At 38.3% G+C, this 24,513-nt stretch overlaps 1 long non-coding RNA gene across 1 annotated transcript; it reads right to left on the bottom strand.

Annotated features, from left to right (window-relative positions):
- Positions 1-6,125: 6,125 nt before the first annotated feature.
- On the bottom strand, positions 6,126-21,712 carry LINC01080 (long intergenic non-protein coding RNA 1080). Its single transcript, NR_104138.1, has 2 exons — positions 21,536-21,712; positions 6,126-6,570 (listed from the first exon to the last, which is right to left on the bottom strand). It is a non-coding gene; the product is annotated as a long intergenic non-protein coding RNA 1080 (long non-coding RNA).
- Between the last annotated feature and the right edge of the window lie 2,801 nt (positions 21,713-24,513).

Genomic DNA, 24,513 nt, shown 5'->3' with positions numbered 1-24,513 from the left:
AATATTAATATTTTATTGCATTTTTAGTCTTTTAAGCATCTTCTATATAATTTTGATACATAAATTTTACTATAATTTTTTACAGTGCTTCTTTTACTAAATATTATGTTTTTCCATTATTAGAAATAACCATTAGTATATTTAATGTCTACATGCATAGACTGAATGTACCACAGTTTACTTGAATTTCTTTTTATGGCCAAGTGCTTTGTTTCCGCCTTTTCTCCATATTCTAAATAGCACTAAAATGAGCACATTTGTACACAAAAGTTTCCCTGTATTTAACATGATTTTCTTTGAATAGATTCTTGGATTTAAAATTACCTGTCTCAGACTTGGAAATTTAAGACCCCTTCTACACACTGTGAAATTATTTTCCAAAGAAGCTATAACGTTTTTCTTTCCTGCTAACAAAACACTATCTCCAGTATTGAATATCCTAAATTAATTTTTAATCTCTGCCAATTGGATAAGTAAAAATTTAGATCTTGTTTTAATGTGCATTTTGTTGTTTACTAATAAATTTTTTTCATGTTGGCTGATGAAATATATTTTCTCTTATATGCATTTGACTTTCAATTCTGTTCATTTTCAATTGAGATATTTACATTTATTTATGAAAAATATGAACACGCATTTCTGAGAATTAATAAAATAAAATAAAACCTAGAAACATAAAACATCTTAGCTGGTCTGGGAGAACCAAGTGTTATAGGTATAGAATAACTTATGCTTTCCAATTTTCACCTTTTGGAGCCCAGACAGTTCAGTATTGTGTTTGAGAAAGATAATTCCAAAGTAAAACAATCATAATATTAGGATAAATAACACCATTTAACCTAAATCTTTCCCAGGGTAAGTGCAACATCAAAGATGTGGCCCGTTTAAAGGCAATTGCCCTCAAATGGAAGATGTATGGTCAACATCAAAAAGTTTGGGTTCTTTCCTCAAGTGATCAACCTGCAAATGGGAAGGGGGCAACATGTTTAGTGGCAAACATGCTAAATAACTGCTTCACCATTTCCCAAGTATTTACAGACCACTGGAATGGACACATCTGCCAGTTCATAGTTAAGTAAAGCAAGTTTGACTCAAAGAAAGCAAGTTTGGTGATCTTTGTAGACTTTCAAATTTCCTTCATCTTGGAAAAAGTGATTGACAAAGGAAGTGTCAAAAAGGTCAATGAACTACCTGGATATAAACTGCATCTGGAAACCCCTTTTTTCAAGATTTATCCATTGGAGGAAGTGCTAGGTATTGGTTAACGGGACAGTTGATCTCCTAGGCTGTTGACGAAGGCCATAAATGTATGCTTATTATTCTTATTCTGTCAACATCTTTTGACATCTCTGTATGACTAATCATAGATCAGCCACAGAGAAATATAAAGTAAATGACTCCCTTTCCCTAAAGTTCAGAAACTCAAGATGCCTAGAAATTGAATTTCTTGACAGTTTAGTCCTTTTGCTGTTCTTTCTCAAGAAGTGTGGGATAATTGATGCTAAACAGACCTATAAATATTTGGTGTGTTTGTGTGTGTGTGTGTGTGTGTGTGTGTAAAATAAGACGCCATAGTGATGTTCTATATGACACTCTAATTTATATTAGAAAAAAATAACATATTTTAGAAAAAAGCAATTTTATCACGCACAAATTTAATGTCCATGTTTCTGTATCTATTTTGTTTGTATCAGTGGTATAATATTTCCCTTAGAAAGGTGAAACCTGTGCCTAATAAGAAGAAAACAATTACTTCATAAAAAATACAATGCCAGAACTCTGCTAACATTCAACTATCTATGTGTAGTATAGAAGTGTTTGTGTGTAGCTATCCTAACATTTCTATCCCCTTTTCCAGCATGACAAGCAGGAGGTAAACAAAAATTTAAAATAGAAACTCTGACTTCTCGTTTGGCCATCCCTTCTGCCAGCTCTCCTGTTTACTAGTAGTTTCTGGTCTCCAGAGAATCTGACCAGCATTGGTTTCCAAAAGCGTATACCTTTAAGGCAGCAGTTCTTCCCCAAAGGCAACTTTGCCCCCAGGGGCATTTGGCAAGATCTGGAAACAATTTTTTATGGTCTATGGGGTTGTGACTGGCACCTAGTGGGCAGAGGCCAGGAATGCTGCTTAACATCGTACAGTACACAGGACAGCCCACAACAACAGCATATCCAGCCCAAAATGTCAATAGTGATGAAGCTGAAAAACCCAGTGCATGAGCCACAGTGAGGACTCTGTGCAAAGACAAAACAAATGAAAGGAAAATCATTAGACAGTTGACCACTCCCCTGCCACAGTCTAGAAAACAATTCATTTGGGTGGGAAGGGAGACAGGATAAATAGTAGGAAGCAAATTGAACAGAGATAGCCTTGGAGTTCTGAGGTGAAGTGTCCTCCCTCCATCTCCTTCCTTGTCTCCCAGGTTGGGGTTTCAGAAAGAAAGAGGATAGTTTTGTGTTTTGTGCAGTCAGATAGGACCACAAGGAGATGATAATTGCTGTGCCTCAGCACGGAAGCAACAGGAAGGTATGGGTTAGCCAGGCCTGGTTAGGAACAAGTTTAGAGAATGCCATTTCTGAAAGGGACTTGTGGATGGGAACAAGAGATATCTCAGAGGCTACCTGTGTAAGCCAGTGACTGAGGATTAAATGGGATCCTACCTGAGTACCTAGGTACCTCTGTAATGCTCCTTGATCACGGATACAACCCTGGAAAAGGGGAGTTGACAAAATTGGCTTTCTCCTGGTCCCAGGTAAGGGAGGCTGAAACAAATTTGATTTATTAAGTGTATGGCTTGCATTTCAGAGACTATGGTCTGAGATTAGTGCATGCTGCAAGTAGAAGTTCTTATCTGAATTGTCCAAATAAATTTTAAATATATGTCTGTCTTAAATAACTCAACCAAAAGCAATTTTCTTTTTCATTTTGTTACATTTAATTAGAACAGGTATTAAACCTTCAACGTGATATTGGTGTTTGATTTTGTGATCCCTCCTCTTCCATCGCCAAAAGGATTTTATAATTCTACTCTGTTTTTTGTGTACCAGGGCCTAGTATCTTAACTGAAGACCATCTAGTGGGTTTAAAACCAGGACTGAGTATAAAATATCTGGTTCAAACACATTTCAAATATCAAATTGTTATAGTATTAAGGAAAACTTAGTTGTGAAAAAAGTCATTATCTAGTGTGACAAGCATAGCTTTTGAGTATTTGGTCTGGCTGGTCTTAAAAAATAATAAAAAAAGAAATGCAAGATTATGTAACAGCCTGTCACAGACACCTTTGTTAACTAAAGCCAGTATTATCTTTCAAGGGTGTCACAGTTCTATTGATTTGAGTCCTCACCCAGAAACCTAGGGAATTTACCCAACTGTTCATCAAGGATTCTGGACACCATTATCAAAGGAAAAGGACATGTGTTGACAGAGGAACACCTGCTGCCAGCCCGGCAACAATCCAATGTTTGTGCACCAACCCAAAGCAAGAGGAAGGCTTTGTTTCCACAGCACATCTACTTCACTGTCCGCTTTGGGGGCAAGCTGCTCCTGTGGGTGGGGTGGGTCTTGTCTCCCTCTTTTAGGTACCAATTTGTTTATTTGCTTTCTCTAAATCATTTTGTGAATCCTTTTCTCTCATTGGAGACTAGATGTTAAGAAGAAAACCTGGAAATTCTCTTCTTTCCTCAGTAAGGATAATTATTTATCAGGCAGTCCTTGTTACTATACTCACCTGCCATAAATACAGGTTGGCTTGGGGCTAACAGTGACATCTACTCTGGTTTCCTTCCAACAAACTTACATCAGGATCGGGTATCCTTCCCCAAAGTGTCACTGCTTAGGGCTAACTCTTTGATAATGCCCCTGTTTACTTCTTGAGGCACTGGGACATATTATATAAATTAAATGAGTAAAAACATTATCCTGTTATAAAGATATTTCTTGGAGTTCAGAAATAACAAATTTCAACAGAGCTCAAAGATACATAAAACCATTTCAAATCTACAGGTTAATCTCTTCTCCATCGATAGTATTTTGTCTTCCTACACAGCCTGGAATTGCTGGAAATGTGCCATGTTTTCTTCGCTCAGATTATATAGAAATTGCTTTACTGTTTCTTCTGGAAACTCATTCCCATCTTTGACATGTCAAAGTGAAAGAGATTAAAGTGATTCCTGATCTGCATAGAACTTTATCTAGCATTAGCCTTGGCCTTTACAGAAATTTTCTACCTAGTTGGAAGTCACCATTATTTTACAAGAGTGGTATCATCATAAAATGTCCTTTACAGAGGAAAAGAATGTTAGAAGGACCTTAAATAGACACTCAGGAGAAATATTACGACACAGAGGAGGAGATAATATTGAGCAGAGGCTTCACAATTGTCTTTGTAGTTCTGACAAGTTATTAAAGTTAAATACTTATATCATTCTTCTATAAAGACAATGCCAAGGGAAAGAGAGGCCAAAATTTATCAGGAAGGACACACAGTACCAGAAGTAAAATTATTGGCAGCATGATGTAATTAATGGAACATGGATTTTAATATAACATACTCATCTTAATTTAACATTCTCGTTAATAGAATCCCTAATATATCAATATTATTATTTCATCTTAGATAAAAAATTTATTTCACATTTCTTATGTAAAATAGTGGTGCAGGATTTTTGTATGACTTAAACGAGAGAGGCGTATTCATGCACTTAGCACAATAACCACTTGCAGTACAATCTCAGCTATGCTGGTTCTCTATCCTACCTTCCTGGTCCTTAGTTGATTTAAATGGCTTTCTGATTTTTTTGACCCAGAGTTGTTGACATTCACCTGTGTCTGACCATAATTCCAGATCTACAGAATAGTTTTGATGTTTGAGATGAACAACAATGACAAAAAGCTTTCAGTCATCTGCAGCTATGTGAATAGGTATTTCTGTGACTCAATGCCAGTGCAAAGGCTATGTAGTTCATTATTTCCCATGGTATCCTACAAACTACTTCGTTTTGCTCTCTTAGTCCCTTTCATACTTGCTTCAACTCTTCTTCCTTCCCCATCTTGCCTGAAGCTGCATTGCTCAAATCTTTTCTTCTCTCTGCCTTTCATTCCACTTTCCTTATCTCTCTTCAGCTCCCAATCACTCTTTTTGCTAACTATATTCAAAATAAATGCCTCATGGTTTAATACTTTGTTGAAATAAAATTCCCATGGTGACTAAAAAGTTGTACCAGAAGAACACTTCATACAAACTAAAATTTTGTATGAAACAAGCTTTTGGTAGGAATGGATGACTAAAAGACTTACATTTGATCTTCCAAATTGCCTTCTGTTAATAGTGTCAAAATCTATATTTGTTCTTCAAAGGTAGCAACAGTAGGCAAAACAAAAACAAACAAAAAACTATATTTGTTAGTCCTTTTCTTGGTTCCTTAATAGGCCTGTCTCATCCAGATAGCAATAGCGATGACGACTTTCCTATTATTAAACTCTTGCACTGTGGCAGGCACTCTGTGAAAGCCTTACCTCATTTATGTGAGAACTTATGAGGTAGTTCCATTCTACCTACAAGGAAACTGAGGCTTGTAGAGATTACACAACTTGCTGCAGATGGTGAACCTTGGATCCGAAATCAAAGCAAAGCCTGTGTTGATAGACAAACATAATAGAGAGTGGGCAATGAAATAATTCCCAATGAACAGAAGAAAAGCCTGGTCAAAGACTGAGTTATTTTAAACCATGTTTCAATGTGTCCAAGAACTACCCCCTACCCACCTAGAATTTCTATTTTCCATAAAGCATGTCATTACTGGTGTAATGTATTTAACACCACTGAAACCATTCCTATAACCTATAAAGTCTTTGGCAGTAAAAGTATCATTTCCACATATCTTGAGTCCAGTCATGGAAATAAGTGGTACCAAGCTCAGTGAAGAGATTTTCTTTATGTACTTACTATTACTATATTTAAAACGTGATACTAAATCGTATTCCTTGGGTGGACATCTATTTATTTTACATTATTTAGTTATATCTTGGCTTAGAGATAGAGGGTTAAATAACATATTTGCCGGTTATTTATAGGTTTGACTGCCTATAAAAGAAACTCCAAATAACTGTGACTGAAAGACAGAAGTTTATCCCTTTCTCATTTAAAAAAGTCTGATGAAGGAAGCTCAGAGCTGTTATGGTTTCAGAGTTATCTGGCAACTTAGCCACTTCTAAATTTTCATTTTACCTTTCCCATAATGGAGTTCTCATTCTCCTCATCTGAGGTGGTGTATTAGACCGTAAACCTAGGGTGTAACAAATTACCACAAACTTGCTGATTTAAACCAACAGAAATGTATGCTCTCACAGTTCTGGAGGCCAGAGGTTCTATAGTGAGTTTCACTGGGCCCAAACCAAGAAGGCTGTGTTCCTTCCAGAGGCTCTTAGGGAGAATCCATTTCTTGCCTCTTTCAGCTTCTGGTGCTGTGGGCATTCCTTGTGGCGTGGCCACATTGCTCCAATCTCTGCTTCTGTGATTGCATTGCTGTCTCCTCTTCTGCTGTTTCAAGACTCCCTCTGCTTTCCTCCTATAAGGATACATATCATCACATTTAGGACCCATCTGGATGATCCAATACAATCTTCCTTTCTCGGGATCTTTAACCACACTGGCAAAATCCTTGTTTGCCACATCAAGTAACATTCACAAGTTCCAGGGACTGGAACCTGGACATTTTCTGGTGGCAGAGGAAGGGGCATGCATCAGGCCGCCACAATAGATATCTAGCCAATATATCCCTGTTCCAAGAAATAGGACAGATGAAGGGGAGAAAAAGGGGCACATCTATTTACTTTAGGACATATTTCAAAAACTGCACACATAATTTCCCCTCTCACATTCCATTAGCCTGAACTCAGTTACATGGTTACATTTAGCTGTGAGTTAGGCTGGGAATTAAAGTATTTAATTTATTTATCATGATCTCAGCTTTAGATAGAAGAAAAGCAGAACAGGTATAGGACAACTAGCAGTATCTGTTACCACCTGCCACCTTGGCCACCCAAATACCATATGCATCTTTCTTTTCGCAAGCCCCTGCTTCTCAAGGTATCCTCATGAGGGTGTTATTCAAAGCCCAGCAAGTCTTAGATCTCTGATTCATGGGGATTCATCTCTAACATGTACATATATGGCTCCTCATCATGGCCAGTCATCTGCCCTTACAGCAGCATACCTTGGGGCACCAAAAAACAGGAAACCACAACAGAAAAACCTCCCATTTGGACAAAAGATCATGGAAAGCAGAGCAATCTTGAAAGGGGCAGGAATAATGACAACTCTCTTCTTGTCAGTAGCATGAGTTCCTAGGTCATCCCAACTGAAAAACTGAAAATGCCTCCCAGTGGGCCTTCCTGGTTCACTATCGTGTATGGGTCATCCGAGGTGGGCATTGGAGAAGGTGTGCTTTTTGGACTGGCCGAGTTTTTTTTTTTTTTTTGAGACGGAGTCTTGCTGTGTCATCCAGGCTGGAGTGCAGTTGCATGATCTCGGCTGACTGCAACCTCCGCCTCCTGGGTTCAAGTGATTCTCCTGTCTCAGCCTCTCAAGAAGCTGGGATTACAGGTACCCACCACCACACCTGGTTAATTTTTGTATTTTTAGTAGAGACGGGGTTTCATCATGTTGGCCAGGCTGGTCTCAAACTCCAGACCTCAGGTGATCCATCCACCTCGGCCTCCCAAAGTGCTGAATTAGAGGCGTGAGCCACTGCACCCGGTCCTGCCCAGCTTTTGTAGGCTGCCTTTTGCTGGTCCTGCTTTGGTGGCCAAGGGAATGCCTTGGGGGTTGAATAGGTTTTTGTTTTCTTAGTAATATAATTTTGTCAAACACCTAGTGGTCTTCCAGTTTATTTGCTTCAGGTCAGTTCCATGTGTCAATAATCACAGATAAAAATCTTGTGGAGTCAGAGTTTTTAAGACTGATGATAGGGACTTTTACTTATTACCTCTGGGCTCTGCCTAGGCCCCTCCTCTCATGTTTCAGAGGGGCTCCCTTAAAGTCACTGAAACAAAGAGCTGGGGTGGGGACACAGCTCTCTTCATCTAATTTTTGCACTGAGCTGGCTGCCATTGTCTGGCAGAGAACTCTTAAATACAGGTGCTGGGAAAAGCTCAGAGGCACCGTTTCGTCTTCTGGTAAGTCTGACCCTTTGCAGCCTTTACTTAGAATTGCTTCAATCTGTAGTACAAGGCAACTAGCTTTGTCAATTCCATAAGGTCCAAATAACTGACCGTTTAGTGTGACAATTAGGAATACAGACTTTGGGGCCAGATTGCTTAGTACAAACCAGGTTTCTCACTTATTAGTTGTAAAATTGGCACGTTCCTCAGCCTATCTGGTCTTCATCTATAAAATGCAGTTAAAAACAGTATGCACTTCATTGTGTTTTTTGAGGAATAAGTTGCTTAAAATACATAAAGCACTAGAATGGTGACTGGCCCATAGTAAGCACCACATATGTGTAGTTAGCATTAACTTACTAATGTAATATTACTAGACTCTGTCAACTTGTATTGCAGGTTACAGTCTGATACTAGACTGATTAGCTCACACCTGAGTTTACTTCTTTTGTAGTCTCTGCTGAAGCACCAAGAAGCAACTAACATAAGACAACTTCTTGAATTGTTTCTACAATTTTCCCTGATGCTATGACCATAGCATGTGGTCTGCTTTCCAAGTGATCCTAGTAATAGTTTCATCATATGGTTTTCCACAGTAGAATGAGAGTTGCTAGGTTTTTGCCTTCTATTACCTGCACCTGCAGCACCAATCTTTCAGGTTTTGCCATGGCCAACACTCCGCTTTTAGGCATCAAATTCCGTATTCATTAGGGCTTATATTTGTTCATAACAGAGATCCAAAATACCTAAAGTATAAGCATGATGAATCTTCATTTCTTTTTGCATGAAAGTCTGGATTGAGGTAGTTTGGAGACGGTGTGATGATTCCATAGTCAGATCTGGGACACAGGTTGCCTCCAGTGTTCCATGTCGCCATCACTAGGAGGCTTCCCTACTTTCACAGTTCAGAATGAAGAGCCAGCCATCCCACTTACATCCAAGGAGTAGAAAGGAGAAAGGGAGAAAGGATATGTTCCGGAAGTTGATCACACATACCCACATAACCAAAACTTGTCACTGGGCCACACCTAGCAAGGGAGTTTGGGAAATGAGGTCTTGATTTAGTGTCAGTGTGCCAAACCAAAGCTCAGGCTTTCTGCAATCACTGAAGAGAATGAGAACAGGCCCTAGAGAGAGTACCAGAAGCCTCTGCCATTCACTGCAAATGGTTGTTTCTCTAGTTTAACACAATGTCTGTTGAAAGTAATGCACAGCATGTAACCTATTCAATATCTACTTCTTTCCCTACCACCAAAAAGTAAAACCAGTGGGTGCATATGTTTTCAGTAAAAAATAAAATGAAACCCAGTAGCTTAGATCAAATGAAAATTCTATCCTGGACTAGTTTTTATTTCTTAAAATACAAGAATTCCATTTCCTAGAATTGGAATTAACTTTCCTTTGTAGTTTTTAAAAATGAAGATCAAAATATTTGCATATGTGTAACATATGATTGACATAGGCTTGTTTTATCTATAAAGTACCTATTTTAACCTATCAAAACACCTATTTTAACCCTTACATGCTTCCTCAACTTGTATATGGCAAAGTTATATTTTTAGAGGGTATAATGACCAAAATGTTTGTTTGAGCTGAAACGAAAGACAGGATTTTCTATCATATTTGAACATAGAGAGGGAGTATGAAAGACTGCATATCTTTCATTAAAAAATATTTGTCAGTCTCTCTTCATGAAGCAAAGAGGGAATTAAATAAGCATAAACTCGATATTTGGGGTTTTATACCTGACACAAAGTTTCAACCTTAGAAAAAATTACCAGCGAGCTAAAGAAGAATAAGCAATATATACATGGTTTGTTTAATTCTTCATCAAACAACATTGCTGTATCTGTGCCTAAGTTTTATTTTACTTTTTTGGTTGGTTAGTTTTGTTTGGTTTTGTTTTGGGTGATGTTCAGCATTTTGTGTCCTGATGGGAATTTTAATGAATGTAAAACAAAAGCACTGGTACCAAGCTGAGCCCAGTGGATGAATCAGGTAGGCTTGTATATTCATAGCACTGATTACTGACAATTTTCTTGTGTCACTCTGTCCCAACTGTTGGTCAATCAGACATATTGCCAGAGAGGCATATTTTTTTAAAAACCCTGGCCACCTAAAAAATACATACACAGACACATGTTTCAGGGCTAGAGATTAAGCAAATTTTACAAGATCTCTAAGCAAGTCTGAGAACAAACGTTCTGCATAGTGCTCTGTTTCAGACGCAACAGAAGTGGAGGCAGGAACCAGCTGAAGAAAGCATCTGCCCTGGACAGCAACTCTGACACACATCACTCGAGATAAAGTGCTTCCCTGCAGACATGAGGAATTAACCCTATCCTCTTGCAGTCAGCCCAGTTCATAAATGGAGTAACAGCTAATGCATTCTTTTCCCCCTTCATCTTTAGAATACTAATGTGGGAACAGGTATTCAGAGTTTATTAGTGTAACACATTTTACAACAACAATAACAATTTCTGTAAGTTCCTACTGGTCAGAAAAGAAACATGATTCATTTGAAATGATTCCTATTTATTTATATTTTTATGTACTTATTCTTAACCTTGTCCAGAAAGGATTTGAGCTAACTTACTGAAACTTTTGGTTTAACTCACAACCCTTACCACTAGATAAGGAAGATTTAGTTACCCAAGTAATTCTTTCAAGGTGTCTGTTTTGCAGAGTCTAAAACTGGGATGCAATCTGCTCAGCCTGTACTTTAAAACCCTTCAAAGTCTCCTCATCCTCCATCAAGTCTTTTAATGTGTCATACACACTTTGTGCCTTCACCTCTTCCTGCTGCCAAAGTTTCATGTTTGCCCTGGCAATATATGACTTGGCCAGAAAAACATGTAATTAAATATAATATTTTCAAAATTATTTTATTGGAAAGAAAGTAGGTCCACATGAAAATGAAGTCTCAGTGATGACCAAATGGACTTTTTAAGTACTGGCAATTATGCGCTGTTTTGTTACTGTTTTTGTGTCTTTAAGTATTTTTGTCAATTTTTAGAACCATTAGTGCTTTTTAATTTGCAAATCATTTTTAGTTGGTTTTACACTGCCATATCACAAAAACTTGGAATAGCGTAAATGTCCACCAAATGGTGGTTTGCTCAAATCTAGTAGGTTATAATGGCATACATGGCATAATCTCATTTTACAAAAGAAAAAATTCAATAATATGTAAGAATATATGGAAACCAGATAAAAGATTATGGAAAATATTCAGCAAGATATTAATAGCAGTTACCTTTGAATGAGTGGGATTATGACGTTCTTTGTGTTTGCCATATTGTTTCAGATTTTTTTTCTTTTCTGCAGTAATAATTTCTTTGTTTTTTTTTCTAATAAGGAAAAGGTATTGGAAGAAGGTAATGATGAAAGTATCTACTTTTTAATGAGTGAAGGCTTACTGTGTGTAGGGCACTTTGGCGAATTTTAGTTCTAATTGCGTGTTTTAATCCTTAAAATTTCTGGGAGACAGATACCATGAATGGCATTTTATAAATGCAAAAGTAAAAACTTAGAGATGTTAAGTAATGTTCAAGGCCACATTGTGCCTGGATCTAGACATGGCATTTGAACACAGACTAGCCCAACTCCTAGGAAGTCGTTATGCTACTCCCTTGTTACTGGTAGATTGTTAAGCCATGTTTCTATTACAAACAGCACAAAGAAGAAATAAATGACTATGCAATTAATCCGACATTAAAAAAATAAAGTTAAAAAGGCACTTAACAAATCAAAATGCTTAAAGCCATGTGAGAGACTATTTCTTTCTTTTTTTTTTTTTTTTTGAGATGGAGTCTCACTCTTGTCACCCAGGCTGGAGTGCAGTGGTGCGATCTCGGCTCACTGCAACCTCCATCTCCTGGGTTCAAGCGATTCTCCTGCCTCAGCCTCCCGAGTAGCTGGGATTACAGGTGCCCACCACCACACTCAGCTAATTTTTATATTTTTAGTAGAGACTGGGATTCACCATGTTGGCCAGGCTGGTCTCGAACTCCTGACCTCAAGTGATCCACCCACCTCTGCCTCCCAAAGTGCTGGGATTACAGGCATGAGTCACCACACCCGGCAAGAGACTATTTCATAGTTTACCAAAATGAGAAAGCTTGGGTGGGAGGAAAGTGACTGAAGACACTCACTTTCAACAACAAAAAATTTTAAGCAAATTGGTACACTGATCAGCTTTCAAAAAGTTTTATAACCATGTTGCTTTAAAGACAGATTACCTAGGCTTCTCTGGCTCCCTTAGGCTCTTTCTTAGCACCCTGGCCAGTTTGGACAACTTAATCCTCTCCACACACAGCAAATGATTACTTGAATCTTGACCCTTGCTCATGCTGTGGGATTCTCCTCCTACCTTTTGGTAGTTCTTATAATTCTTCAAAATCCTGCCTCTTCTCTACTAATAGCCTTCCATTCCACCCTGAAGAGGACTTAAGCTCAATTTCACTGTTCTCCCACATTCAAAATGCTTAACTGCCAATATGACAGAGGCCCTGCCAGATCAGAGCAGACCTCAGCCTTACAGCAGCACCAGTGCACACAGGCTGAATATCTACTGCTGCAAAGAAGACACTGTGTCGATCTCTGCAACAGGTATTGAGAGAATACCTTGAGGACAGGGGCTAACAGATATTTAATTTATGTGACAGCACATGTTGGCTATGTTGGAGCTGAATTAGAACGGCAGACCAATGCTCATGCATATACACCTCTTTCTTTGTTCTAGAATGCTCAGGAGACTCCTTACCCATCGCAGATTATGAGGTGATGCACAAAAACAATAATCTGGCTGCGTGCCTGATTTTCTTTTTATTTACTTATTACTTTTATTTTTTTAACTTTTAGGTTCAAGAGTACATGTGCAGGTTTTATATATAGGTACATTGCACATCACAGGGATTTCGTGTACGGATTATTTTGTCACCCAGGTAATAAGCATAGTACCTGATAGGTAGTTTTTTGATTCTCACACTTCTTTAACCCTCCACCCTCAAGTAGGCCCCGGTGTTTGTTGTTCCCTTCTTTGTGTCCATACATACTCAAAGTTTAGCTCCCATTTATAACTGAGCAAATGTGGTATTTGGTGTTCTGTCCCTGTGTTAGTTTGCTGAGGATAAAGGCCTCCGGCTTCATCTATGTTGCTGCTAAGGATGTGATCTCATTCTTTTTTATGCACATGCGTGATTTTCTTGGGGCTCCAAATCTCCACAGGGAAGAGCATGGGACCTGCTGGCCATTCATGTTTGGTAGATGCTAGCATACCCGATGCAGGGGGTGGGGGTGGAGCAGGAGCCAGATTCACTAAAAAACCATGGGCCTTTACCAGAAAAATCACCGCAAGAATGTCATGTCTCGCATGCTGGGCCTGTCACCTCTGCTTGGCATATGCATAAAAGGAAACAGTAGTTTCAAGTACCAGTAAGGTGAGCTTCACCAATTCCTCACTCAGTACTCTCCAACAAGTCTGGAATATCTGTGCCCCAAATGGGAGAAGACTATTTAAAAAATAAAATTAGTGTATCACCAGAGGTCCAGGCATTTCTCTGTAGGACCCTCCCTTTGAAGAGGCATTGATGTGAGAAAGGTAGAGATGTCCTCCTGTCTGGGGAGAGACAGTCACCAAAACTTAAAGATCAATATATGAATGCTCTAGGAGAGTGTGGATGTCCCATTTTCCAGAAGTTACACAAGACAACACATCTCCATCAGAGGGATGCTGCATTTTACTTCTGTGGCTATTATAACAAATTACCACTAACTTGGTGGCTTAAAACAACACTAAAACAGGCTCTAGGGCAATATCTGTTACCTGGACTTTCCCAGCTCCTAGAGGCTGCCCACATCCCCTAGACCGTGGCCCCATCTAAAGCCAGCAAATATGCATCAAGTCCTTCCATTGCTTCACTCTGATGTCCTCTTTTGCTTTCCTCTTCCATTTAAGGACCTTATAATGACATTAGGCCACTGGGATAAGTTAGAATACTCTCCGTGTTTTAAGATTAGCTGATGAGCCACCTTAATCTGATCTGCACACTAAATTCCTCTTTGCCATGCAACATAATAGTCACGAGTTTTAGGAATTTGATTTGATAGTGGACATATTTTTTGGAGGGAGGAGGCACATTATTCTGCCTACTACAGATGACTTAGCAGAGTACAGTGTATGCAAAAGGCAAGAACAGTAATGACATGGAAAAATGAATGACTGTCTGGACAGGGCCTGGCTGTGGCACAAGGGCAGAGAGACATCTTGGAGGACCATCAGCTGCAAATGGATGGTGAGGGCAGGAACCAGAAAGAGAGGTTATAAAGCAGAGGACAAGTGATCTGTGGCTATACATGAGCGGCTCATATAAAACCACACCCCACCCTCTACAGGATTCCCAGAGTTAAGAAAGGATAGACACACGCCTCTTAGCATTTGGCAATGAATTCAATGGATCTGTGGACAAATTGGAAATTAATCTTACCAAGAACATAAATATTGGTGTCTTCTAGACTACTTTCTGGTTCCACATATACAACCCTCTAAGTTCTCTATTATTCATGAAAGTAGGGGCTTGGAGACTTGACATGTAGAATTACTAAAAGGACATAAAGGCTGTCCTTGCTGGGAGATAAATCATAGACATTACTCTTTAATAAACATCTCCGGGGTTGAATAACATACGGTTTAAAGCTGCTAATCAGTAATGATGTGCTAAATGAATGAATGAGGAAATCTCAGGTGGCAGAGTAGACACATTGTTCTTGCATGAATTTTAAAAAAATGATAAAATTACATTTTTATAAAGACCAAAATACATTTCATTCATTGGTTTAAACTAATCTTTTTTGGCAAACCTACCTTTTAAAATTCTATTTATCTTAAGAGTGCATTTCAAGTGCACCCACACATACATACTGACGAGCTAGTGGGTGTTTATTGTTAGGTTCCAGGGTATATGTGCAGGATGTGCAGATTTGTTACATAGTAAACATGTGCCATGGTGATTTGCTGCACCTATCAATCGATTGCCTAGGTATCAAGCCCAGCATGCATTAGCTGTTTTTCCTGATCCTCTCCCTTCCCTAACCCTGCCCCCACCCCCAGCAAGCCCCAGTGTGTGTTGTTCCCTTCCCTGTGTCCATGTGTTTTCATTGTTCAGCTCCCACTTATAAGTGAGAACATTCAGTGTTTGGTTTTCTGTTCCTGTGTTAGTTTGCTGAGGCTAATGGTTTCCAGCTCCATCCATGTCCCTGCAAAGGACATGATCTCATTCCTTTTTATGGCTGTGTAGTATTCCATGGTGTATATGTACCACATTTTCTTTATCTATTCTTTCATTGATGGGCATTTGGGTTGATTCCATGTCTTTGCTATTGTGAATAGTGCTGCAATGAACATATGTGTGCATGTATCTTTGTAATTGAATGATTTATATGCCTTTGGGTATATACCCAGTAATGGGATTGCTGGGTCAAATGGTAGTTCTGGTTCTAGATCTTTGAGGAATCGTCACGTCTTCCATAATGATTGAACTAATTTATATTCAAGATGGGGATTTTTGTAAGTCGGAATTTGTATTAGCTGCTTAATCTATAAAACCAATTGGAAAAGATCAGTTATAATACACACAAAAATTAAAATAATGGTGGATTCTATAGCTTTATGTAAGTATATACATTCAGTGTAGTTGTGGATATTAAATAAAAGAACTGCATGATTATTACATCTGCCACGTGATGTTAAACCTTAAAGTAGTTTCTCAAAAAAAATTCACTTAGTTGAACAGTAAAGATTAGACTATAGATCTGGGTGGAAGACATTTTTGATCATCTTATGAATGACAAGAAGAGACAATTCATTTTGCTCTAGAGACTGAACTATCTAATAACCTTTAGTGTGGCACTATTTTTCCCTCTAATTCAATCCTTGCCTTTGCAGCTCCTCACTGCTAATCTTAGTCTACATGAATTGGTAGAGCCGTTATAACAGTACAGTGAGGTGAATAAATACAGGCATACCTTAGAGATATTGCAGGTTCAGTTCTAGGCCCACTCCAATAAAGTGAATATCACAATAAAGTCACATGAATTGTTTTGGTTTCCCACTGCATATAAAAGTTATGTTTATACCATACTGTAGTCTATTAAGTGTGCAATAGCATTATATCTAAAAAAGTACATAGCTTAATTTAAAAATAACTTACTGATTAATATCTGAGCCTTTAGCAAGTTGTAATGTTTGTTGGTAGAGGTTCTTGCTTCAATGTTGATGGCTTCTAACTGATCAGGATAGTGGTTGCTGAAGGTTGAGGTGGCTGTGAGGATTTTAAAATATATGACAACAATGATATTTGTCACGTTGATTGACTCTTCCATTTATGAAAAATTTCTCTGTAGCATGCAATTCTGTTTGATAGCATTTTACCCACAGTAGAACTTGTTTCAAAATTAGAGTCAATCCTCTCAAACCCTGCCACTGCTTTATCAATTGAGTTTATGTAATATTATAAATCTTTTGTTGCCATTTCAAAAATGTTCACAGCATCTTCACCAGGAGTAAATTCCATCTCAGAAAATCACTGTCTTTGCTCATCCTTAAGAAGCAACTCCTCATCCATTCAAGTTTTATTACAAGGTTGCAGCAATTCAGTCACATTTTCAGGCTCCACTTCTAATTCTAGTTCTCTTGTTATTTTCGTGACATCTGCAGTTCCTTCCTCTACGGAAGTCTTGAACCCCTTCAAGTCATCCATTAGGGTCGGAATCAACTTCTTCTAAATTCCTGTTAATGTTGACATTTTGACCTCTTACCATGAATCATGAATGTTCTTAATGGCATATAGAATGGTGAGCCCTTTCCAAAAGGTTTTTGATTTACTTTGTTCAGATCCATGAAAGGATTTACTGTCTGTGGCAGCTATAACCTTACAAAATGTATTTCATAAATTATGAGACCTGAAAGTTGAAATGACTCATTGATACATGGACTGCAGAATGCATGTTGAATTAACAGGCACGAAAACAACATTAATATCCTTGTAAATCTCCATCAAGAGCTCTTAGGTGACCAGGTGCATTGTCAATGAGCAATAGTATTTTGAAAGGAATCTTTGAGCAGTGGGTCTCAACTAGTGGGCTTAAAATAATCAGTAAACTATGCTGTAAACAAATGTGTTGCCATCCAGTTTTAATTTTCCATTTCTAGAGTACAGCAAGAATAGATTTGGTGTAATTCTTCAGAACTTCAGGATTTTCAGAATGATACATAAGCACTGGATCAACTTAAAGTCACTAGCTGCCCTTAGCCCTTATCAAGAGAGTCAGCCTGTTCTTTGAAGCTTTGAAGCCAGGCATTAACTTTTCCTTTCTAGCTGTAAAAGGCCTAGATGGCCTCTTCTTCCAACATAAGGCTGTTTCATCTATATGAGAAACCTATTGTTTAGTGTAGCCACCTTCATCAATGATCTTGGCTGAATCTTCTTGATAACTTACTGCAGCTTCTACATCAATACATACTGCTTCACTTTGCACTTTTACTTATGGAGAAGGCTTCTTTTCTTAAACCTCATAAACTAGCTTCTGCTAGCTTCAAACTTTTCTTCTGCAGCTTCCTCACCTCTCTCAACCTTTATAGAATTGAAGAGATTTAGAGTCTTGCTTTGGATTAGGCTTTGACTTAAGAGAATGTTGTGGCTGGTTTGATCTTCTATCCAGAGCACTGTAACTTGCTCCCTATTAGTAATTAGATTATTTCACCTTCTTATTATTATTTCTTATTTCTTATGTGTTCACTAGAGTAGCACTTTTAATTTTCTTTAAGAACTTTTCCTTTGCAGTCACAAGTTGGTTGTTTGCTGCAGGAGGCCTAGTTTTTGGCATATCTTGGCATTTGACATGCCTTCCTTACTACGCTTGATCATTTCTTACTTTTGATTTAAAGTGAGAGATGTGTAACTCTTCCTCTTATTTGAACACTTATCAACCATTGAAGGGTACTAATTGGCCTAATTTCAATATTGTTGTGTCTTAGGGAAGAGGGAGGCCAAAGGAGAGGGAGAGAGGTGAGGGAATGGCCAATGGGTGAAGAAGTCAGAACACACACATTTATCAATAGAATTTGTTAACTTATATAGTGTGGTTTGTGGCACCCCCAAAATGATAACAATATGGCATCAAAAATCACTGCTCACAGATCACCACAGTATATGTAATAATAATGAAAAAGTTTGAAACATTGTGAGAATTACCAAAATGTGAAACAGAGACACAAAATGGGCATATGCTGTTGGAAAAATGGTGCTGATAGACTTGATAGATGCAGGGTTGCCACAACCCTTCCATTTATAAAAAATGTAATATCTGCAAAGTGCAATAAAGTGAAGCACAATGAATGAAGTGAGGTATGCCTGGACTACTATTCTATTTTTAGACAGATAAGTGTCCACTTTTTCTGACATATTATACAGGATTAACATAATAGGCAGCAAACCTGTAAATAGAAATTTGCAGAATTTGACTCGTGGATCCAAAAATTATTTTTTAAAGTAATATCTTTCTTGACTAATACAGAATACTTATTTCTTTTGTTCCTCATATACGCTTAGAGCTCAAGGAATAAAACTCCTGATTTAGGTTACCTTACACAAAACAAAAGGCATTCACGTTACAGCTCATGATCACAAAGTTAAATGTCTGACTTTAAATTAGCTTTGCTCTACCAACTATCTGATTTTACAAGTAGCTCCTTGAAAGCCCAAAACTGGACTAGGATTTGCCCGTGATCAAAATCATGAGACATCACAAACAACATGATTGCTTCTTCTTATAATGAAACACTAAAGTTAAGATTTGGAAGAAGTTACAGAAATATTTTTGTGCGGCTAAATCTTTCTTTCCAGTTTTAAAAGAACTTAGTCTCTTAGTCCAGTTTGTATTGCTATAACAGATACCTGAGACTGGAATTCATCAAGAAAAAATGTTTTATTTGGTTCACAATTCTGGTGGCTGAAAAGTCCAAAATTGGGCAGCTGCATCTGGTAAGGGCCTCATGCTGCTTCCACTCATGGCAGAAAGCAGAATGGGAGCAGTTGTGTGGAAAGGGATCCCACGGTAAGAAAAGGAAGCAAAAGAAAGCAACTGAGACTGCCAGACACTTTTTAATCACCCACTTTCATGAGAGCAAGAATTCACCCCATGCGAGACCATTAATGTATACACAAGGGATCCACCCCCATGACCTAAACACCTTCACTAGGCCCCACTTTCCAACACTGCCACATTGGGATTCCCATTTCAACATGAGTTTGGGTGGGGACAAACCATATCCAAACCATAGCACCCAGTTTTCTACATTTAAATTTAAATATATTGCCTTAATTCAACCCAAACCAACAAAATTGCCTACTAATCAGCTGTGAGGAATCTTCTTCAAAAAAAAATGCAAATTAACATATCAAGTATTTCTATATAAAATGGACAATGTTTAAAATAATTAGTGGTCCTAAGAATTTTGGATATTTTTTTAATTCACATATTACCTATTATTTTCATGTTAAAGATATATTTATTTGTTTTTTTTTTTTTTTTTTTTTTTTTTTTGGAGACGGAGTTTCACTCTCGTTGCCCAGGCTGGAGTGCAATGGTGCGATCTCGGCTCACCACAACCTCCGCCTCCCAGGTTCAAGCAATTCTCCTACCTCAGCCTCCTGAGTAGCTGGGATTACAGGCATACACCACCACGCCCAGCTAATTTTGTATTTTTAGTAGAGATGGGGTTTCTCCATGTTGAGGCTGGTCTCGAACTCCTGACCTCAGGTGATCTGCCCACCTCGGCCTCCCAAAGTGCTGGGATTACAGGCGTGAGCCACCGTGCCCAGCCATATATTTATTTGTTAAACAGATTTGTTTGGGGTCCACTTGCGGGACAATTTAGGACTATAAAGTAAAGAAGTCACAGTTCCTAACTTTTTATGTGTCAGGAGGTGAGGGTAACAAGATGTGGTACTTAAAGAAAGGCAGACTAAGGAGGTAGATGGAGATCATACAGCAGATGCAATGGGGGTTGACCATGGATGTGCAGCTGACCATAAACCTCCAAGTCACAGGCAGGCAAAACTGTGCCACCAGTGGTAGGGCAGAGGCCTCAGAGGAAAGTGTGGGAGTCAGAAAAGCGTGACAGAGGTGGGGTCAGTGATGACTCAGAGGCACAATATCATCTGGATCAAGAGCAAGAGTTTTAGACTCAAGCAGACCCAATTGGTTTGAAATGTCTGCCAAGTCAGGTTATCTCTCTAAGCTTTAGTGTCCTATCTTTTTTTTTTTTTTTTAAAAAGGACATTGATAGGAATTCCTCATAGATTTATTGCAAAGAAAAATGATATAATGCATGTACAGCACTTGGCACAAGGCCTGGCACTGAGCAAATCTTCAAAGACAATTGGCTGCTTTTAAAAAACTATTTTAGTATAGAAAGAGGAGGAGGGAAAAAAAGGCAGAGGAGGAAGTGAAGGAAGGAGAGCAGAGGAGCGGAGGAATGGGAGGAGATCCAGGAAGGCTGTTGGTTGTCGTCCAGGAGATATGCCCCTGAATAGCTCAGGGTTCCTGAGCAAAGCTCAGCACATTAGCAAAGAGTAAACCGGGGAGTAAACAGAATGTGCCAAGCCTCATACAGAGACTTGAGCTGATACTGAGAGGGAAAGCAAGGACAACACATCCATTTAAAGCTCTGAAATAAATCATGCTGCAAAATGCCTGGGAAACCTCCAATACACCCTGGAGCCTGAAGCACAAGTTAGGCAGCCATCAAGGGGAATTCAGATAATAACTCATGAACCCTGGGGTACTTCCCAGAGCACCATACCCTTCATCCAGGGGAGGGACAATCCGGGGAACTGTGGGATATTGTCCTCAGTTTGTTCTGGGAATCTGAATGAGACCCACTTTGCAGAGGAGTAATCACTGAGAAAAGGGAAGTAACAGCTCTGGGAAAATTAGATAACATCTTGAGGAGGTCCAATAGAATGGGAAAAAGACAAACACATAAACAAAAACTGTATGCAGTGGTGCAAGATATAAGAGAAATATATACCAGATATATAGGGAGCCTAGAGAGGACCATGATAAGTTCTGCTTGGGCGGAGACAGGATAGGCTTGGGAGACTCTCCAACTCTGAAGCCAGACTTTAGAGCATAAGTTCACCAGGATGAGAGTAGAAGGCAGGTACATTCTACGTCTGTTTTGTGAAGTGTCCTTATGTGCCATATGTATTGCTAAATCAGTTTTTAAAAATATCTTGTTCACTGTGTAATGGGTCACAATAATTACATGATCTTACATATAATATATTTATGCAAGTATCAACTTACTGTATACGGAATACTCCCATGTCTTCTTTAATTCTTATGATAGGACAGGAAGATAGGTCTGGTTGTCCCTAATTTCGCAAAATGAGGACAGAGTCTCAGAGGATGTTGAGCTGCATGCCCAGCGTTGCTGCAGTTTGACTGAGACCAGCTGCCTTGGTATTCATTCATATTCAGCAAACATGCACTGAGTCCCTACTCTACTGCCAGGCGCTCTGCTAGATGCTGGGAATACAAAGACAATGCTCAAATGAATTCACAGAAAGGAGGGGGAAACAAATATATAAACAGAATTAAAATACAATGAAGTAAAACCTATTATATGGATGTGCATGTGATTGCTACTGAGAATATGCACAGATGAGCATAGGAAGAGCTACACAGAACAGGTGCCACTGAACGACATCTAGAAGGATGAGTAGGTGTTTAGGGGGTAGAAAAGAGAAAGGCTGTTCCAGGCATGAACACTGCACGTGCAAAGCCGGAGAAACACAAGAGAGCATTACGCGGGGCCAAACTGTGAGAAGTTCAGGAAGGATTGTCCTGGGTTGCTGATGAAAGACCTAGCAGCCAGATCAAAAACAGTCTTTGTGGCTGTGCTCTGGAGTTTGAATTTTCATGCTGTAAGTGGCTGGGATCCACTGGAGGATTTTAATTGTGTGAGTGACAAGATCAGATTTGTTATTCAGAAAGCACACTCTGGCACAGTTCAGTGGGTGGAATGGAAAGTGGTTACCCTGGAGACAGGCAGACCCATTAGGAAGCTATGACAATAATCCAGGAGAGAGAAAATGAGGATAGTGGTTGGAAGAACGGGCAGATTCAATGACTTTCTGGAAGTAGAACTGATGGTCAGGAGAGATTCATTGGGTATAAATGCTGAACAAGAGGAAGAATCAACAGCGATGGCAGGTTTCTGGCTGGGATTTCTAGGTGGATAAGTAAATCATTAACCAAGATGTAGAATACCAAAGAGTTAGCAGGTTGGAGTAGAATATTATAAATACATATGGGAGAAGTTGAATTTTAGGTGTCTCTGGAACCTCTAGGTGAGGATATTATGCACAGTTAATATATTTAGAATTCAGAAGAAAGATTGACTAAAGGTATAGATTTAAGAGTAATCATCAAATAGTTTGTTGTTGAGGTTTTGGCAATCTCCAAAACTACAGGATCTGGGTACCACTGCTTCTACTCAATTCATTTGAACCATCTCTGAAGTAAGTACTAGCTCAAGCTTTGTTCCAAAGTACAAATTAGCATAGCAGCTCAGTAAACAATGTCTCTGAGCTTCTGGAAAGAAAGATGTTCAGTCACCATAAGGCCCAGAATTAATGAAAAGTCAAAGAAATAATAGCTCTATTCTCTAGTTGCTTTTGAACCTCAAATCACTCTTTGGCAACAAGGTAAGAATTTACAGAAACTGCTGAAAAGACCTTCTGGTAAATAGGACAGCAAAAAGAGTTTGTTTTTAATATTTGTTCTAAACCATGTATGTGGTCATGTTTTGAAACTGCTAGTTCACATACTTGACCTGAATTCCTTTCCTAACTGGAAAGTCAATTTTGATTTTGATTATAGGATATAATTCCTTGACAAAAAATCTTTTTTTTTAAAAAATTTGGCCCTTCTCCTTATGCTTTTTTTTTTTAAAAAAAGATCAAATTGCAGGAATCAGATGATATATGCTTATATAATGAATGTGGTTTGCCTATATTTTAATCAGAAGACATTTGTTAGAGGAAAGATATTTTTGCTTACTCATGGACAAACATCAACAACACAAATTTAAAAACACATACGTGGAAATGATTTTTTTCTTTCAGATTAAGTGGAGATGACCATGATGTTACAGCAGAGCATTGCCAGGGCATCACTGTCATTAATGCTCGGCAAAAACACTAAAGATCGATTATTTATCTCCAAATTGTGATATATAGGAAACAATCACTATCATTATATTTTCTCTTCCCATTCTTATGCATCCTAATTTGAGTCATTGTGGAAAGAGTAGGGGTCCCATTTGCCATGGCATATGCTTGCGACATGTGGGTCCCCTACTCTTTCCACAGTGACTCAAATTAGGTAAGTTTGATGTTCATGCCATGTTCACTAGCATGAATATCAAACTTACCGGTAGTATGTAAGAGGAAGGAAGATTATAACAGGTGCTTTACATATTTTATCTTCTCACATAGCTTTCACAATAATTCTATTCTGGGGATTCAATGAGTTAATACATTTAAAACTATTAAAACAGTAATAGTAAACTATTAAAGCAGTAACTATCACATGATAAACATTCCATAAATATTTAGTAGTATCATTACTAATAAGATATGTCTGGTTTTTTTTTCCTGAGGAATGCCATATTCAGGGATACTGAGTGTTTACCCAAAGTGATATAGCTAGTAGGGGATGGGCCCAGGTTTGCAACCTAACTTTGCTTGCCTCAAGAGCTTATGCTGTTTTCATTATTCTATGCTGCCACTTAGTGACTAGTAAGTTTCGTCCCTACTGAAAGCACACTGTATATTATCAGGGAGAGACAACAAAAACCCAACCCATTACCCTTGATAGCTGACCCCAGTAATCTTTCAATTGACCTATGTATTTGTTTTTTTATTTGGAAAATAAAGATGCCATTACCTACTCTCCTTTGCTAATATGCTATTCAAATACTCAGTATAGTATATTATCATTTCTATATTATAGATTTCATCTATTATCTCTTTTGATCTTCAAAATAGAACAAATGTGACCTAATGGAAAGCACATTGAATTTCTATTTCCACTAACGTGAAAACATTGCTTAAGTTAATGAAATTCTTTGAGTCTCAGTTTAGTTACCTATAAAACTAGAGGGTAAAACTAGGTGTTCCCTCTGGCTCTTTTACTTGCTTTTTGTGTGAAAAAAAATTTAAAATATATTTATTTATTAATTTGTTAAAATATTAATTAACCTATTACATGTAGCTGTA

Source organism: Homo sapiens, chromosome 13, assembly GCF_000001405.40.
Source record: "Homo sapiens chromosome 13, GRCh38.p14 Primary Assembly".
Classification (NCBI taxonomy): domain Eukaryota; kingdom Metazoa; phylum Chordata; class Mammalia; order Primates; family Hominidae; genus Homo; species Homo sapiens.
Note: the sequence above shows the minus strand (reverse complement) of the source record. Positions and strands in the feature narration are given on the sequence as shown.